Raw genomic sequence first — 18791 nt, forward strand, 5'->3', positions numbered from 1 at the left:
TAGCCCTTATGAAGAACAATTTAGGAGCATTATCAAATATTAAAATGTGAATTCCACTTGACTTAGTAATTCCACTTCTAAGAACGTCTCCTGGAGACATAATCATTCTTAGATATGCACAGTAACAGTGTTTTTCATAGTTTAAAAAATGAAAATGATGGTCTATCACTAAGGAAAGTAGTTAAATGTATTATGAGACATCCATACCTTGGACATCTATGCAGATAATTCTTAAAAATTGAAATAGACCCACATGTACAGACATAGAAAAATTTTAAGACATAATATTTTAAAAGCAAGTCAAAATTATAATACACATAAAATAGATTTATGCATATATGCATATATGCATATATTATGTGGATCTATAAATACATGGGGGAAGGTTTGAAATTATAGACACCCAACAGTTAACAGTGTTTCTTCTAGGAAGGAGAATAGAATGGGGGACAGAAAATGAACTAAGAGCTTTCACTTTAACTCTTCATCCTTCTATGCCATCTACATCTTAATTTTTGTAATATGCTATAATAAACCAAATGGTGCCCTCATAGACATAAGTCCTGTGACACACGTCCATTTGGCCAGGCTATCGTACTCAGTTATTATTCATAAACGCTACTCTATGTGTTGCTATAGAAGTGTTCCACAGACATTGTTAAGATTTAGTTAGTTGACTTTAATTATCTTCAATAATGTGGATGAGCCTTATTCAATCAGTTAAAGGCTTGAGAAAAAAACTGAGGTTTCCCAGAGAAGAAGAGATTCTGCCACAAGACGGAAACATCAATTCCTGCCTGAGTTGCCAGCCTGCAGGCCTGTCCTACAGATTTTGGACTTACCAACCCCCACAATCATGTAAGTCAATTATTTAAAATATGTGTGTGTGTGTGCACGCGCACACACACACACACACATATACATATAGGAAGTGTATATATAATATATATACCATACTTTCTATATGCATATATAGGAAATATGCGTGTGTGTGTGTGTGTGTGTGTGTGTACTTCCTACTAATTCAATTTCTCTAGAGAACCCAGATTGATACAAATAAACATCATCTTGAAATAAAAAAATCATCCTGTACGGAGAGCCCTAAATGTCATTTCAAGCATCCTTACAAGAGCAAGGCAGAGGGAGATTAGATGGACACACATAGGAGAAGACAAAGAGGCAGAGATTGGGGTGATGTATCCAGAAGCCCAGTTACGCCAGCAGCCACCAGAAGCTGGAAATGGCAAGGAACAAGCTCTCCCCTAAATCCTCTGGTGGGAGTAGCCCTGCTGACACTTCTATTTTGGCCCAGTGAAACTGATTTTAAACTTCTGATTTTACACTGATTTAAACTCTTCATGGCTCCTCCAAAACTATGAGAAAATCAACCTCTGCTGTTTTAAGACAGCAAGTTTGTTGTAACTTGTTACAGTGTCAACAGGAAACTCATATACATGCATATTTCATGTAGCACTTGTGTAAAAATATAATAATCCAAAACTTCCTCATGACTAGGGAAATTACCATGGTCTCACAGAAAGAATGAGATCTTTGGATTCAGAGAGACTTGAGTTCTGATATCATACACCATCACTAGCTACATGGCTTCAGGAAAAGCACTTAAACACTGAGTCTCAGTTTCTTCACCCATGAAATGGGTAATAATACCTACTGTGGTAGGCAAAGCAACGGCTCCCAAAGATGTTCACATTTTAATCCCCAGAATGGGTTAATATGTGACTTTACAGGCTAAAGGAACTTTGCAGATGTGATACAGTTAAGGATACAGGGGACCAGTGTAATCACAGTGGTCCTCATAAGAGGGAGAAAAGGAGGCTCAGAGAAGACGTGGCAATGGAAGCAGAGGTCAAAGAACAAGAGATGTGGAGATGCTATGTTGTGAGCTTTAAAAATGAGGGAAGGAACTGTAAGCCACGGAATACAGGCAACCTGTAGAAGCTGAAAGAGGCAAAGAAACAAATTTGCCCCTAGATCCTCCAGAAGCCTCTGCCAAAACCTTGATTTTAGCCCAGTGAAATCCATTTCTAACCTCTAAGGCTATACGGTAATAAATTTAGGTTGTTTTAGGCCACTAAACTTGTGGTAATTTTTTGCAGCAGCAATAGGAAACTAACATACCTTTTTACAGAGCTATCATGAGATTAAAAGTATTCTTTTAATTATGGCAACATTTATTAATAGAAAGGCTATTTTTAAAAATGATTCTGAGAAATGAGTTACCTATAAATAAACTATCTCTGTAAGCCAAAAATGTTCATATTCAATCATTCCAATTTTCACAAGTCTTAACTACAGGGTTCATTTTTGTGTATCCAGTTCTCCAGATGTGGAGGAGATTTGCTTCTCAAATGTTCCCACAGGGTTAAATAAATTTTTTAAATATTTTGTTTCCTGACTTACTGACCTTGAAGTCTGCATTCAAATAAGACATTTGGCCAAGAAAACTGAATGACCTCTGTGAATTCTTCAGTTTTTATCAGAAGGACGCAGACCCAAAGTTTCTTTCTTTTTGTAGTGAAGGTTTGCCAAGTTTTCCTTGAAAAATTACCTTAGTTTTGTCCAAGAAGCCAGTATCTCTCAAACTCCACGAGAGTTCATGTGAACTCTAGCAAGATGCAGTAAAATATCCATTATAACATCTGCCTATACATAATTTTTCCATTCCCTAGTCTCATTTGAAGCATCAGTTGGCTCATTTCCCATCTGGACCTTATAGTCAGTTATCAACAATGCCCTCCCTTGCCCTAGACCCCTCTTCTCTAGACCTTCTACTGTACTTTATTGCCAGTCCCAGCTCTGGAGAAACTCCCCTGCCTACCAGTTGGGCACCTTCTTTCTGCCCAGAGAGCTTTACCAATCTTAGCCTCATAACTCACCATTTGGATATACGGTCCACCATAAAATCAGACTACCATCAGCAAGACCCACAGAGCTTAGCTGTTTATCTTGTCTTGTGTTTTTCTTTCATTAATTTTCCATAGCAGGTGCCACAACTATTCAAAATCATTTCTCCTCTACTAAGCCCTTAAACATTCACTCCATCCTCATTCTCTCAGCAAATACATTTACCTCTGAGTTTTCACTCTTAAGGTTAGGACAATCTAGCAAGCTCTTTCCCTTCTTTGTACTCTGCCTGAAAAAGGCATGGCTGGTCAAGGCCTTCTTCCTTTCAACTTTCTGACCTCACTCTCCTCTCACACCTCCACTAACCACGTTTTCTCTCTTCTACACCATTATGTTCCTTTACATTTACCATTTTACTGAGCCTATAAATGTCCTCAAGTTTTTTCCGTTCTTCAATCACCTTTACCTCTTCCTTTCTCAAAAATATCTAAATTTATTGCCTCTACTTCTTTTTCTGCAGCTAATATTTATTAAATGTTTCTTGTGGGTCCAAGACTGAGCTAAGTTTTATAGGCATTATCACATTTATTCCTCCTGAGGTAGGTACTGTCATAAGTTCACTGGTAAAAATGAGGAAAGTGACTTGGAAAGTTTCAGGAACTCATCAGAAAGAGCTAGTAAATGACAGGATGTAGAACTGGACCCAGACCAGCTAACTGCAAATGACTGTGCTAACCACCCAGCTACACTGTCTCTTCCCTGATTGCCCTTTTCCTTCTCAACCCCTTGTGGTCTGACCCTGCTCTTCCCACTCTGCTGAAACTGTTCCATTAATGAATTCTTTATTCCAAAAGCCAGTAGGTTCTCATCAGGTTTTTCCTGGTTCTCATTGAAATGGCCATTTGCTCACCTGACTTTAGGGAGGCTGCAGCCTATGATTTCCTTCTTCTCTGATTTCTCTAACTCTGCCTCTTCTAGATCTTTTTCCTGCTCAGGTCTGTTATTTTCTTCTTTATTTTTATATTCTTGCCTTTTACTGGCAGCCACTCCCAATAATTCAAAACCCAGCCCTATTTAAAGGACTCCTTTAGTAATTCAGCAGCAATTTGTTGAGGATTTCCCCTTCTGGTCCTGAAATGTTTAAGCTGACAAACATGGAAGCTATTCCAGGACTTGGCTGTGGTTTGCCAGCTACCACCTGGTGAAGGTAATGTAGCTAAATACACTGTGACAGCTTTGAAGGTTCTGAAAGGTGCATGAAACACAGGCACTAGGAAGGCTGCTCTCTTTTAAGCTTTCAATTTAGGAAAGCATCTCCTTTTCTCTACATGTAAAGTGGAAGTAAGACCATCAACTCACATCAGCAGCATGTGGAAAGTCTAGAGCATGATAGCTGCTCTAGAGCAACAACAGATGTTCAAACAACAGGACCAAGTAAATGCATACATTACATATATATATATATATATATATATATATATATGCATTGCTATATGCATTGCAATACACACACACACATGCAAATCATAAAGGAAGAAGTAAAGGACCAACAATGGATGTTCAAACACCAAACCCAAGTAAAATGCTCCTGTTCAGCCTAATTAGCCCTCATCACTTACAAGGTTACTTACATAATGTGATGCTGTTTTCTGTCTGGCTCCTCTTTCAGTTTTTATTTATGTTAAATTTGGTGGATATTTTGTATGCTTTCTCAGGTTAAGCAAACCTAGCTGAAACATGTTTTCTGGCAAATGTTTCAGATAACACCCAATGGACTGACTCCAATAAATTGTACTAAGCCAAACTGTAACAAAGTGATGTTTATTTATTAAGTTGGTGAGCAGTTTTATCTGCTCATTTTGCATTAAGGGCCTTAATTCTCCTCTTCTGGTTCATGAGAAAACAACAACATAAGCCCCTTAGGCGCCAACAGGAAGAGAACCCTCAGCCCATCATCCAAAAATATTCTCAAAAATGTCCAGGCCTTTTCTTTTCTAGAGCACCCCTCAGCTGTCATTGAAAGATTCTCACAGATGTGGTACTGGTGTTGGCCACAGAAAGCAAAATGAGGTGAAGAAGGTCAAAGGTATGCACATTCAAGCTTTATTGGTTCTATCCCTTCCTGAGCTTTGGCAATGCCCTCCATTGTCATCAAAATGCATTTATTAACTTCCCTTTGTGGGTTTTTTTGTTTTGTTTTGTTTTGTTTTTTGAGACGGAGTCTCACTCTGTTGCCCAGGCTGGAATGCAGTGGCACAATCTTGGCTCACTGCAACCACTGCCGCCAAGTTCAAGCGATTCTCCTGCCTCAGCCTCCCGAGTAGCTGGGATTAAAGGCACCTGCCATCGCGCCTGGCTAATTTTTGTAGTTTTTAGTAGAGAGGGGGTTTCACCATATTTGCCAGGCTGGTCTTGAACTCCTGACCTCGTGATCCACTGCCTCGGCCTCCCAAAGTGCTGGAATTACAGGTGTGAGCCACCACACCCAGCCTTCCCTTTGTATTTCTAACAACCTTAGTTTTTACAAAAGAAATTACAGGAGGCCACATGGCCACCAATCCTTCTATTTTTTTCACTATGCTTGTAGAAACCATGGACAAAGGGGTTTATAGGCAGTTTTCTCACATGCACTCTAAATTTGGAAATCAGAAAATTAAGTCCACCTTCTGAAATTTAAGCTAATTAAATCAACACATAATGGGAGGAGACAGAAAGTCTGTTTGTCCCTATAGAAAGACTTACTCTTGTAAAAACAGCTTGCTAGCTTTTTCAGTAGTAAGAACATATCTAAAGGAAGAATGTGGCCAGGTGCGGCAGCTCATGCCTGTAATCCCAACACTTTGGGAAGCCAAAGCGGGTGGGTCACTTGAGCTCAGGAGTTTGAGACCAGCCTAGGCAACATGGGGAAAGCCCATCTCTACTAAAAATACAAAAAAAAAAAGAAAAGAAAAGAAAAGAAAGCTGGGCATGGTGGCCTGTGCCTGTGCTCCCAGCTACTTGGGAGGCCAAGGTGGGAGGATCACTTAAACCTGGGAGGTCGAGGCTGCAGTGAGCCATAATTGTGCCAGTGCACTCCAGCTTGGGCAACAGAATGAGACCCTGTCTCAAAAAGAAAAAAAATCGAAAAAAGAAAAAAAAAGTATTCAAATTTGGTGATACGATTTGGCTCTGTGCCCCCACACAAATCTCACCTCGAGTTGTAATCCCCATAATCCTCATGTCAAGGTTGGGATCAAGTGGAGGTAATTGGATCATGGGGGCAGTTTCCCCCATGCTGTTCTCATGATAGTGAGTGAGTTCTCACAAGATCTGATGGTTTTATAAGCATCTGGAATTTCCCCTGCTTGCACTCACTCCATCCTGCTGCCCTGTGAAGAAGGTGCCTGCTTCTCCTTTGCCTTCTGCCATGATTCTAAGTTTTCTGAGGTCTCCCCAGCCATTCAGAACTATGAGTCAATGAAACCTTTTTCCTTTATAACTTACCCAGTCTTAGATATTTCTTCATAGCAGTGTGAGAATGCACTAATACACTCAGTGACCCAGAAAAATGCTGGATCTAGAAGGCAAACCCCTTAGGAGTATGTATCCAGCACTAGGCAGGAGAATAAAAATTGCTCAGGATGAAATCTAACATTCTGGACCTGCGGAAAGTGTTTGTTCCCTGCTTGAGATTTGAGAAAATCCATCAGTTCCAACATGACCCATCTGAAATGAACTCCAGGTCCATTGATCTACCTGCTTCCAAAGTAGATTTTTCATTTTTAATTTTATTTCCCAGCTACCTCAAAATAAAGAATGAGAGTGTCTTGTATTGAACCATGAGATCATTCTCATCCCTACAAAGGGATGACTTTTCATGATATGTTAATGAGTTATCATTCTGCTTTACCCATTAATCTCCTGCTAATGTGGATTTTTATCAATCTGTGGGGGTATTGGTGAAGGTACAGTTTCTATAACTGCAGGACTAAAGTTTACAACCCATGAAGCCTATAAGTGGCCAGTCAGTTGCCCCTCCCCTGGCTCCTAGAGCACTTGCTTTCCTCTCTAAGACACCAAAGATGATCTCGTCTATTAGAAACAATAAGCAAGATTACTAGGTGGCCATTATCTAACAAATGTAACAAAAATCTATGGCTTTTATGTATACCAAGTCATTCTAGCTATAAAATATTATAGGAAAATCCCTTTCTTGGAATTATTTTTTGTGTGTGTGCGTGTGTGTGTGTGTATAAAATAATCTAAATGTATATATATGTGTGTGGAAATGAATTTGTCGTACATTGATGAGATTTTTAATTCAGTTTGAAAATAATAAGTATAAATACAAATAAGAAAAAATATTTGGTTAGACATAAAATTGTTCTCAGTCATTATTAGGTAATTTTATTTTCTTCTTTTTACTTATCAATGTATTCTAAATTGCTTTGCATTTTAATTTTTAGGATCTGTTATAAATATGGAAAACTCTTAATGTTATTCTCATTCCCTCCCCATCCCCTATGCCTACATTACACCCATATCACACTCCATCCCATACCTAAATGTTATGAATTGGGCCAGGTGCAGTGGCTCACGCCTGTAATCCCAGCACTTTGGGAGGCTGAGACAGGCAGATCACATGAGGTCAGGAGTTCAAGACCAAGCCTGGCCAATGTATGAAACCCCATCTCTACTAAAAATACAAAAAATTAACCGAGTGTGGTGGCAGGTACCTGTAATCCCAGCTACTCGGGAGGCTGAGGCAGGAGAATCACTTGAACCTGGGAGGCAGAGGCTGCAGTGAGCCAAGATTGCACCATTGCACTCCAGCCTGGGCAACAGAGCGAAACTCCATCTCAAAATAAATAAAGAAATAAATGTTATGAACCACCTTCTGTGTTCAAGGATCTTTTCATTATCTTCAGAGTTTGCCAACCTCTTTATGTATGTTTTTTAAAAAAATTTTAAAAAAAGGGGGTTAGGATGAAAAAAGATAGGAGTAGAATAATTGGTTCCACCAACAGCAAATACAACCAGAAATAAGTGATTTAGTAAGCATAGAAGAAGGTAAAAAAAAGCAGGCATGAAACTACTTCATTTATGAAACTATGATACAAAGGAGCCCAGAAAGGAAGAACTGGGAGGGCTGCTAAATCAACCTGGGGACCCACAACAAGAGAAATGTCTCCGCTCTCATCCTCAACCAAGAAGCTAGGCTCCTTCCTTCTCCCAACTCGCTCTCCACACAATTGCCTTCACTGTTATAGCCACCATTTGCACCCCATCTCCCTAGCTCTCTCTTCCCACTCTGTCCTTAGAAAGTGAAAAAACATCCATAGTAGTCAATTATTACTGACTTTGTTTAACTTTTGCAGGAATGGAGACACAACAAAAGAGCTCACTCCGTCTTTTACCACCCAGTCAAGTCCTTCACTTTGTTTAACCCCAATATCTCCTCTTTTAATCAAAACCCTTCTCCCTCTCTCTGTCTCCTGATGACTTGAAAATCAACGGTCAGCATCTTCATAAACACCATAATTGAAGCCATGACCAAATCACCTCCCTGGATCACTTGACAGTACCTCTCCAAAATAAAGTTTCAGAGGTAAATAAAAGGGGAAGAGTGAGACAAGCTCTTCATGAACAACATGCACAATTGAAATGTGTTTGGTTAACATTTTTGTTTGTTTTATTTTGTTTTGTTTTGAGACAGGGTCTTGCTCTGTTGCCCAGGCTGGAGTGCAGTGGCACGATCACAGCTCACTGCAGCCTTGACCTCCCCAGGCTCAAGCGATTCTCCCACCTCAGCCTCCTAAGTAGCTGGGACTACAGGCACCTGCCACCACCTCTGGCTAATATTTTTTTATTTTTCATGGAAATGGAGTTTTCCCATGTGTTTGGTTAACATTTACTATGCACCTGCTGTGCATGAGCAGGATGCTATACTCCTGATTTTAGAGCTCCAAGCCAGGGTTCAGGAAATATGTTCATGAATAAACTAAGTGCCTGGCAGAAATAGGCTCTGAGTGGTATCCATTAACTATTATTATCATCGTAATATTATTTATATTAATTCTCATCCCCAAGATCAGTGCTTCATATATAACAATATTGTATAATAATATTTAATATTATACATATTTATATAAATATTTAATAAATATTCATTAAATATTTGAGAATAAAAGTTAGAGAAGGCATGAAAATGTGGGAAAAAGGATCAAAGGATTTTCTTGCCCTAGACATAAGCTTTCATAAAATATGTACTACTAATACTTCCCATTTGCAAACCTAAATCTTCAGAACAAAACTTGCATTGCCATCAAATTCAGACCCCCTCATAGAGGGATTCTTCATAGAGGAAGAAGTCAAACTTTAGGATGATTATACTTGAGAAAAAGCAGTAAATAAAATAACAAAAATCAAGTTTGTGTAATTTCAAGGATAAATTGTCTCCCTTTGTTAAAGAAAGAAAAAATTAAGTATAAAAAAAATGAAAATGTTCCTACACACCAGTTGGGCTGTCTCCTGGTAACACTTAGTCTATGCTTAGCTAAGTTTATTCACAATCTGAATTGCTAGGTATAGTTCAGCAAATTATGATAAAGAATGACACTGTGGAGAGAATTCAAAAAGGTAGGACAAAGGTAATTACTTCAAACAAGTTGTTTTAAACTTGCCTGGCATTTCCCGATTCATAAATGCTAAATTCATGCAAAATGCCTTTCCCTGAGAGTGCTCGCTTTTGCTTGCGTTTTGAGTCCTGCCACCTAATTTGTTAACATATGGTCTGAGAGTTGGACAGTTCGTGCTTAGGAACTCAAAAATATATTAGGCATAAGAAAAACAGAATGGCTATGATCTTGAAGCAGAACGTGTTGCCATCTATTGTTTGTCAGAGGAAAAGGGATGCAAATTTCAGGACCTAAATGAATAAGATAAATCAGGATCTGTGTGGCATTTGCTCATAAACATTTCAATGGAAATGAAGAAACAGGACAATCCATCAAGGTTTAAAAAAAAAGAAAAGAAAAACAGTTTTAGTTTTTTAAAAGATGACTTATGACCATGGAAGTTTGTAGATGAGTTACATTTGAAATGTGAGATTTAGAGATAGAGATGTTTAAGGCACTTGACCAGAACAGTAATCTTAAGGTCAAGGCTTCCCAAGCTTTCGGTAATGGGCTGTCTACAATTCCTTCAGTACATGGAAATGGCTTTTTAATGTGTGCTGAAAACCAGAGAAATTGAATTCTCCTTTACAGTTTATGAAAATCCCCCCAAAATGCTTCAAGAAAATCCTCAACAAATCTAGAGATTATTTTGAAAATATAAGCTCCATGAGGACACCGGTTTATATACCTTTTCATTGGCTATATTCCTAATGCCTATAACCATGTCTGGAATATAGCACGTATTCAGTCAATACTGTGTACTTGATTCTACAAGACTTAATATTATATAGCAGGGAGCAAAACTAGAAGCTCCTAGACTCATTAGTTTAAAAAGGAAGGGTATGAATGGAGGGAGGAAGAAAGGGAAGAAAGGAAGGAGAAAAAGAAGGAAGGAAGAAGAGATAAAAAAGGAGTGGAGGGAGGACAATTTATCTCAGTGAATAAAAGAAATAGCCCATTAAATACTGTGTAGTCCATCAAAATACCATCACGTTACCCTATTTGACCCTTTGAGAATTTATTCTAACCCAGTTATTATTTCTGCTCATGGTGTCTGAAAGCTCAGGTCCAAAATGTTTGAATTATGTAGTAAATTGCTATAACGTAGGAAAACAAATAGGACAATAGCACATAAATCTCTTTCTATTGTAACACTTTCACATATGTTTTTCAAATTTAAAATACATCATGAAAAAACACCATTAAAGTAATTACCTGATAGAACATTTAGCTCAGTTTAGGGGAAAACTTTAAGGAGGTTTTTGTGGCATTATATGAAGAGCTTCTATTTCTAGTACTCTTCATTTACATCTGTAACTTCTGGGTAGCACATTATTCTTCTTGTCAGTGATGACCATCAATAAAGGGTGACTCTTAGAAATAAATTTTGTTTTTATACAAGTGGAATACTTACCTGAAAAGCAGAGCTTTCCTTTAAATGCTAATATCCTGAAATCAGCTTCCTGATGCTGGATTTGGAAGGCTACATTCTAACTATCTTTCTTTTAGGGTGATTTTCTGGTTATAGGTAATTATAAGAATCAATTAAAAGCATAATTTTAAAAGTAAACTTGTCCCTCTAATGCCAGGTTTTTTACTGAATAAGGAGAGTCATCGCCTTGTCCTGTTATCCCCAAATATCCCCACAATATAGGCAGTCTTTTGACAGGATAACTGGGTGGAACAGTTGGAGGATTTCTTTTTGTTTGTTTGTTTGTTTTACTTTTTTTATTTCAATAGGTTTTTGGGGAACAGATAGTGTTTCGTTACACGAATAAGTTCTTACGTGATCATTTCTGAGATTTGGTGCACCCACCACCTGAGCAGTGTGCGCTGTACCCAATGTGTAGTCTTTTATACCTCACCACCCCCAACCATTTCCCCCAAGTTCCCAAAGTCCAATGTATCATTTTATGCCTTGCGTCCTCATAGCTTAACTCCTACATATGAGTGAGAACATACAATGTTTAGTTTCCATTCCAGAGTTACTTAATTTGGAACAGTAGTCTCCAATTCCATCCAGGTTGCTGCGAATGCCATTATTTCATTCCTTTTTATAGCTGAACAGTATTCCATTACATATATTATATATAAATACTGTTATATATAATTATGGAATACTGTTCAGCGATATATATATATGTGGTATATATATGTGGTGTATATATATATGTGGTGTGTATATATGTATGTATGTGTATATATATATACATATATATGTATGTGTGTATATATATACATATATATGTATGTGTATATATATACACATATATATGTATGTGTGTATATATATATATATGTATATATATATACACCACATTTTCTTTATCCACTCATTCATTGATGGGCATTTGGGCTGGTTCCATATTTTTGCAATTGCAAATTGTGCTGCCATAAACATGCGTGTGCAAGTATCTTTTTCGTATAATGACTTCTTCTCCTTTGGGTAGATACCTAGCTGTGGAATTGCAAGATCAAACAGTACATCTACTTTTAGTTCTTTAAGGAATCTCCACACTGTTTTCCATAGTGGTTGCACTAGTTTACTTTCCCACCAACACTATTTTTTTTTTATGGCCATTCTTATAGCAGTGATGTGGTATTGTTTTGTGGTTTTGATTTGCATTTCCCTGATCATTAATGATGTTGAGCTCTTCCATATGCTTGTTGGCCATTTGTATATCTTCTTTTGAGAATTGTCTTTTCATGTCCTTGGCCCACTTTTTGATGGGATTGTTTGTGTGTTTCTTGCTGGTTTGTTTGAGTTTTTTGTAGATTCTGGATAGTAGTACTTTTTTGGACGTATAGATTGTGAAAATTTTCTCCCACTCTCTGAGGTATTTCTCACAGGGGCAAAGGTGCATAGCCATGCCTAACAAGTCCAATCTGTTCCTAGGCTGGATCCACCTCGTTTCCACTTTGGCTACCAGAAATAATGAACTGCCACACTGAGCCTTTTCTCTGAACTTCCAGAAGTCACTTTTTCTTCACAATGTGAAGCCTCTGTTCACGATGAAGAGCCTCACAATATTGTTACAGAAATTAGATCATAAACACACCACCTGTGGAAGGACAAACCAAAGAGGCCAAACAATGCTTCACCTTTTGTGCCCCCTTCAAGACTCAAACTGATCTGCAGGCAAAATAGAGAGCTGGCTCTGAGAATGTTTTTAGGAGTCCTACAAGAGGGCTCTACTTCTCTCCCACCCTAAATAAGCGTCTTCTGGTGACTTGCCAATAATTAAATTTCTTTCACAGAGGAAAAACGTTTTTAACTAACTTTAATATGTGTATTCTGAGGTAGGTGTTGTACACCCTCCCAATACTTAGAACCATATGAAACAGACATTATTGTCCTCATTTTATAGCAGAAGAAATACAGACTGAGAAGGGACAGAATACTTCTCCAGGCTTGCACAGCTAGTAGGGGGAGAGTCATATTTTCTAATTCAGATTCACTATATTAAGTCATCCTACACTATGGCATGGTAATATAATAAATCCATGCTAAGGAAGAAATGATGAATACACAATTTTTCCCTAAGATCACTTCTTAGTGGGAAAAAAAGAAGAAATAATATTTGGTGACTGTAAGAGGAGACTGTAACACTCAAAATGAGAACAAAGCATATAAAAGGAAACTTGGAGCACCCAAGACAACCTTCCCCTGTATCCCAAGTGTTCCCTGAACACTTCTGTAGCCTTGGAATGGATATGAGTAGAAATGTGTTAAAAGAGTTGTTTATTCTAGCTGTGAGAATCAACTTTGAGTTCTACTCAAGGACCATAATAAAACATGTAAATTCTGAAGTCAAAGTTTCATTTGTTTCCAGAAAGCCAAGAAACCTTGGTCAGCTCACTACACTTGGGATTGCCCTATTCCCAAATAAAAGGGTTAAGGTTAGGCAGAGGAAGTAAACACAGACCAACCTGGCCTTTTGTGTCCTCATAGAGCTGTGTAATAGGACTTCTCTGTGATGGAAATGATGTGCTAGCCAGTGTAGCAGCCCCTAGCCATTTGTAGCTCTTGAGCAGTTGAAATATAACTAGCACATCTGAGAAACTGAATTTTTAATTTTATTTAATTTTAAGTCACTTAAATGGAAATAGCCATATTTGGTTAATGGTTACCTTATTGAGCAGATTGCTCACCCAGCCACAGGGACCCACACATTACCATGCCATCCTCCCTCATGTGTGGATCACCCAGCTTCAACTCAAGCCAGACCCAGACCCAGAAGGCTGGCCTGGGCTGGATATGGATTGGCAAGTGTCATTAAGGAGAAGAGATGTGGAAAGGGGAGAAATGTACAGAAGAATCCATAATACCGACTGCATTTTATTTGTTTCACTCCCTAAAATTATCAATTTGTTGAGCACAACTTTCTTCAGTGCAGAAGTGAGACACCGTTTTGATCTCTAGGTCACAGCTAGCAGGGACAAAGGTGTTGCTTGATTCAAGTAGAAGCTGACCAGGCAAGGAAGTGTAGAAAGAGCCTAGGTGCATAAAGCCAAGAGTGAGAGCAAACAAGGCCTATTTGGAGAACTGAGGGTAATTTGGTGTGGTTGGAGGATGGGTGTTATGAGCTGAATTACATTCCTGAGATTCACATGTTAAAGTTCTGACCCCCAGTACCTTGGAATGTGACTGTATTTGGAGATAGACTCTTTAAAGAGGTAACTAAGTTAAAATGAGAATCCTGGATTAGGGCTCACTATACTGTTCTCATTTCAGTGTTCTCATTTTGTCCTTACAAGAGGAAATTTGGACAAAGATGGGCAGAGAAGGAAAACCATGTGAAGACAGGGAGAAGGCAGTCATCTATAAGCCAGGGAGAGAGGACTCAGAAGAAACCAACCCTGCTGATTCCTTAATAACAGACTTGGAGCCTCCAGAGAAAATACATTTCTGTTGTTTAAGCCACTCAGTCTGTGGTACTTTGTAATGAAACCCTTAGCAAACTAATAGATATACATGCAAGAAATGAGCCCAGAGATTTAGTTTGGGATTGATTCATAAAGAATCTTTATGTCCTACTGAGGAATTTAAGATTTATTCTGAACCACTGAACGTTTTTAAACATGGAAGTGGCATGATCTGGTTTGCTTTTTTTTTCATTTATTTTGCATTTAAGTTTAAATTCAACTTGACCCTCCCTAGTGACTTGCTTATATTTGACTTGCTAGTCTCCAGTCTTGGTTCTGATTTGACTTTAAATACTTCATGATGGCAGGTACAGCTGCAATAAAACTGACAGTTATCCTTTAACTGTCTGTTAATTCCTCTCTGATGTTTGCCATGGGTCAGTAGACAACCCTGTCTTAACATGTTTTAAAAGCCTGTACTTGCTGTGTCTGGGTCAAACATGATTATATTGTATTCACTGAATAAAATTCTCTAAGTGCCTAAGTGATTCTAAGGTAGAAGGAGTTCGGCAAAAGGGGAAGCACATTAACTCTTTCAGGTCACTAGGCTACCACTTAATACATTATTGCAAATGCACTTTTGAATAAATAACAGGTGGTAAGAGGCACTGAGACAATTAGCCTGCTTAAGCTGACTTAAAAAAAACACAAGACAGACAGCTCTGAGCTATATGCAGGATGACTATGATGTAATTAGGCTTTAAAATAAAAATAGATGAGAAAATTTATATGCAAATGAGTTTTGTCATCTTGGGAGTCAATTTGCTTATTCCAAAAATCCTTCTACTTACTTAGAACACTTTAGAAATCCTCCTTCTCAAGATGCCTTCAGAGCTAGTTGATGAGACCTCCAGTTCTCTGATCTCACTGGGGATCCAGTCTACAGTAAATTTAAGGGAGAATTTGCCCCATCTGGGGAGCAGAAAGTATACTTCTGGGCATTCTGGAAGCAGAGACTACTGTGTTATGAAAACCAGGCTTTTGAGAAGATGGAGGACGTTTACATAATCATGCTCCTTATCACCTGCATCTGGAGATTAGGTAGAGTCCCCTTAAAGAATAAAGATCTCCAGTATTTATATGGCATCTTCAATGGCATGTTGCTTTCTTAATTTCCACAATAACCATGTCTTAGAGAAGGATGAGCATTGAGGAATGGAATGGGTGAATATAAAGAAGTTGCCTGAACACAGGATCGTGGCTATACTGTGGCACATCTATGCTTGATGAGAGGGTGAATGCTATTCCTTCTGAATCCCTTACTTCCAGCCAGTGAACTGAACCCACTGTTCCCAACTTGTACTTCTCTATTTCCTTGACTTTCCCCCATACACTTTCCTTCAAACGTATTGTCTTCCTTTCTCTGCATGATTAAGCCCTGCTTCTTCTCTCAGACCCACTCAATTGCTACTTCTTTGATTAAGTCTTCTCTAATCTCCTCAGCAAGAAGTAATCCAGCCTTGCTCTAAATTCCCATAGCCTCCCTTTCACCCTTGTAATACGGTCATTTGTAGTCTTCTACTAAAGGAGAAGTTTCATAAAGTCATGGTTTATATGACATTAATTTTGGTATTGGAATACCTAAAACAATGCCTGGCACAAAGTATAAAAGATTTCAAATTAATCAATTAAGAATAAAACCAAATCGTATTAGTGCCAGCCAATGTCATCTTCTGCAAAAATCAGCATGAAGGGTTTGAATAGACTGTGATAGCATAAGATCAAGACCCAGAAGGACAGAAACAAAGGGGTCAATCAAGCTAAAAGGCCATGAAGCCATAGGGAAATAGGATTACACATGTTCTGAGCCAGAAAAGCAGACGTGGACTGGAACATCTGAAAACTAAAATCAACCGTTAGGGTAGAGAACACAGAAACAAAGAAAACTTTAGTAACAATGCAAGTTTTTCTTTCAGACCCAAGTCCTTCTGTTATCTGGAAGATACAATAGGAATGAGTTATGTTACAAGTGTTGTTTTCATATGATGGTTTTTTAGAATTTAGAATATATTTTCACAGATAAATGATGTTAAAATGGAAATAAGTTACCCAGATACCCCACAACTCTACTTAATTCATAACAAACCTGAAGGACACAACAAATAAAATGATTTAAACTATAACTGATCACCACTTATAGAATAAACAAATGCTTTGAAAAAACAGGGTGAGGCTTCCACCTTGGGCTAACATAGAGAAAGTCCACTGTCTTGCTCATGAATCACAAGCAAAAACCTCTGTAAAGAATACATAATAACCCAAAGAAAACTACCTCAAGGCATTTAATAATCAAACTCCCAAAAGTCATGGATAAAGAAAGAATCATAACAGCAGCAAGAGAAAATAAATAAATAACATACAATGGAGTTCCAATACATCTGGCAGCAGACTTTTCAGTAGACATTAATACTTTACAGGCCAGGAGAATGTGGCATTACATATATAAAATGCTAAAGGAAAAAAGAAAAACATTTGCCCTAGGATAGTATATCCAGCAAAAATAACTTTCAAACCTAAAGGAGAAATAAAGATTTTCCCAGACAAACAAAAGTAGAGTGATGTCATCAACACAAGACCTGACCTACCAGAAATGTGAAAGGGAGTACTTTAAACTGAAAGAAAAGGATGTTAATGAGCAATAAGAAATAATCTGAAGGTACAGGCCAGGTGCAGTGGCTCACACCTATAATCTCAGCACTTTGGGAGGCTGAAGTGGGCAGATCACGAAGTCAGGAGATCAAGACCATCCTGGCCAACATGGTGAAACCCAGTCTCTACTAAAAATACAAAAAATTAGCTGCGTGTGGTGGTGGGTGCCTGTAGTCCCAGCTACTCAGGAGGCTGAGGCAGGAGAATCGCTTGAACCCAGGAGGTGGAGATTGCAGTTAGTGGAGATCATGCCACTGCACTCCAGCCTGGAGACAGAGCAAGACTCCGTCTCAAAAAAAAAAAAAGAGGAAAAAGAAATCATCTGAAGGTACAAAGCTCACAGGTAATAATAAGTGCACAGAAAAACAGAATATTATAACACTACAACTGTGGTGTGTAAACTAGTCTTAAGTTGAAAGACTAAAGGATGAACCAATCAAAAACAATAACTACAATTTTTCAAGACATAGACAGTACAATAATATATAAATAGAAACAATAAAAAGGAGACACAAAGTGTAGAGCTTTTAATCAGTTTTCTTTTGGCATGTTTGTTTCTGCAGGCAGCGTTAAGTTGTTATCAGCTTAAAATAATGGGTTATGAGATAGTATTTGCAAGCCTCATGGTAACTTCAAATAAAAAAAAATACAACGAATAAAAAAGAAACACCAAGAAAGGAACACCAAGAACCCCACCACCAGAGAAAATAACTTTCACTGAAAGGAAGACAGGAAGGAATGAAAAATGAGAAGATCGCAAAACAACAAGAAAACAATAAATAACAACATGGCAGAAGTAAGTTCTTACTTATCAGTAATAACATTAAATGTAAGTGGACTAAACTATCCAATCAAAACACATAGAGTGGCTGAATGAATAGAAAAACAAGACCCAATGACCTGTTGCCTACAAGAAATACTTTACCAATAGTAAAGGGTTGAATTCAACAAGAAGATCTAACTATCCCAAATATATATTCATCCAACACAGGAGCACCCAGATTCATAAAGCAAGTTCTTAGAGACCTTCAAAGAGACTTAGACTCTCACAAAATAATAGTGGTAGACTTTAACACCCCACTGACAATATTAGACAGATCATTGAAACAGAAAATTAACAAAGATATTCAGGACCTGAACTCAAAACTGGATTAAATAGACCTGATACATATCTACAGAACTCTCCACCCCAAAACAACAGAATATACATTCTTCTCAGTGCCACAAGGCACTTACTCTAAAATTGATCACACAGTTGAAAGTAAAACACTCCTCAGCAAATGCAAAAGAACTAAAATAGTAACAGTCTCCCAGACCACAGTGCAAGCAAATTAGAAATCAAGACTAAGAAATTCACTCAAAACCATACAATTACATAGAAATGGAATAACCTACTCCTGAATAACTTTTGGGTAAATAATGAAAATAAGGCAGAGATTAAGAAGTTCTTTGAACCTAATGAGAACACAGATACAACATACCAGAATCTCTGGGACACAGCTAATGCAGTGTTAAGAGGGAAATTTAAAACACTAAATGCCCACATCAAATAGTTAGAAAGATCTCAAGTTAGCAAGCTAACATCCCAACTAGAAGAACTAGAAAACCAAGATCAACTAGAAGAACTAGAGAACCAAGATCAACTAGAAAAACTAGAGAACCAAGATCAAACATATCCCAAAGCTAGCAGAAGAC

The sequence above is a fragment of the Homo sapiens genome, chromosome 3 (assembly GCF_000001405.40).
Source record: "Homo sapiens chromosome 3, GRCh38.p14 Primary Assembly".
Taxonomy (NCBI): Eukaryota; Metazoa; Chordata; class Mammalia; order Primates; family Hominidae; genus Homo; species Homo sapiens.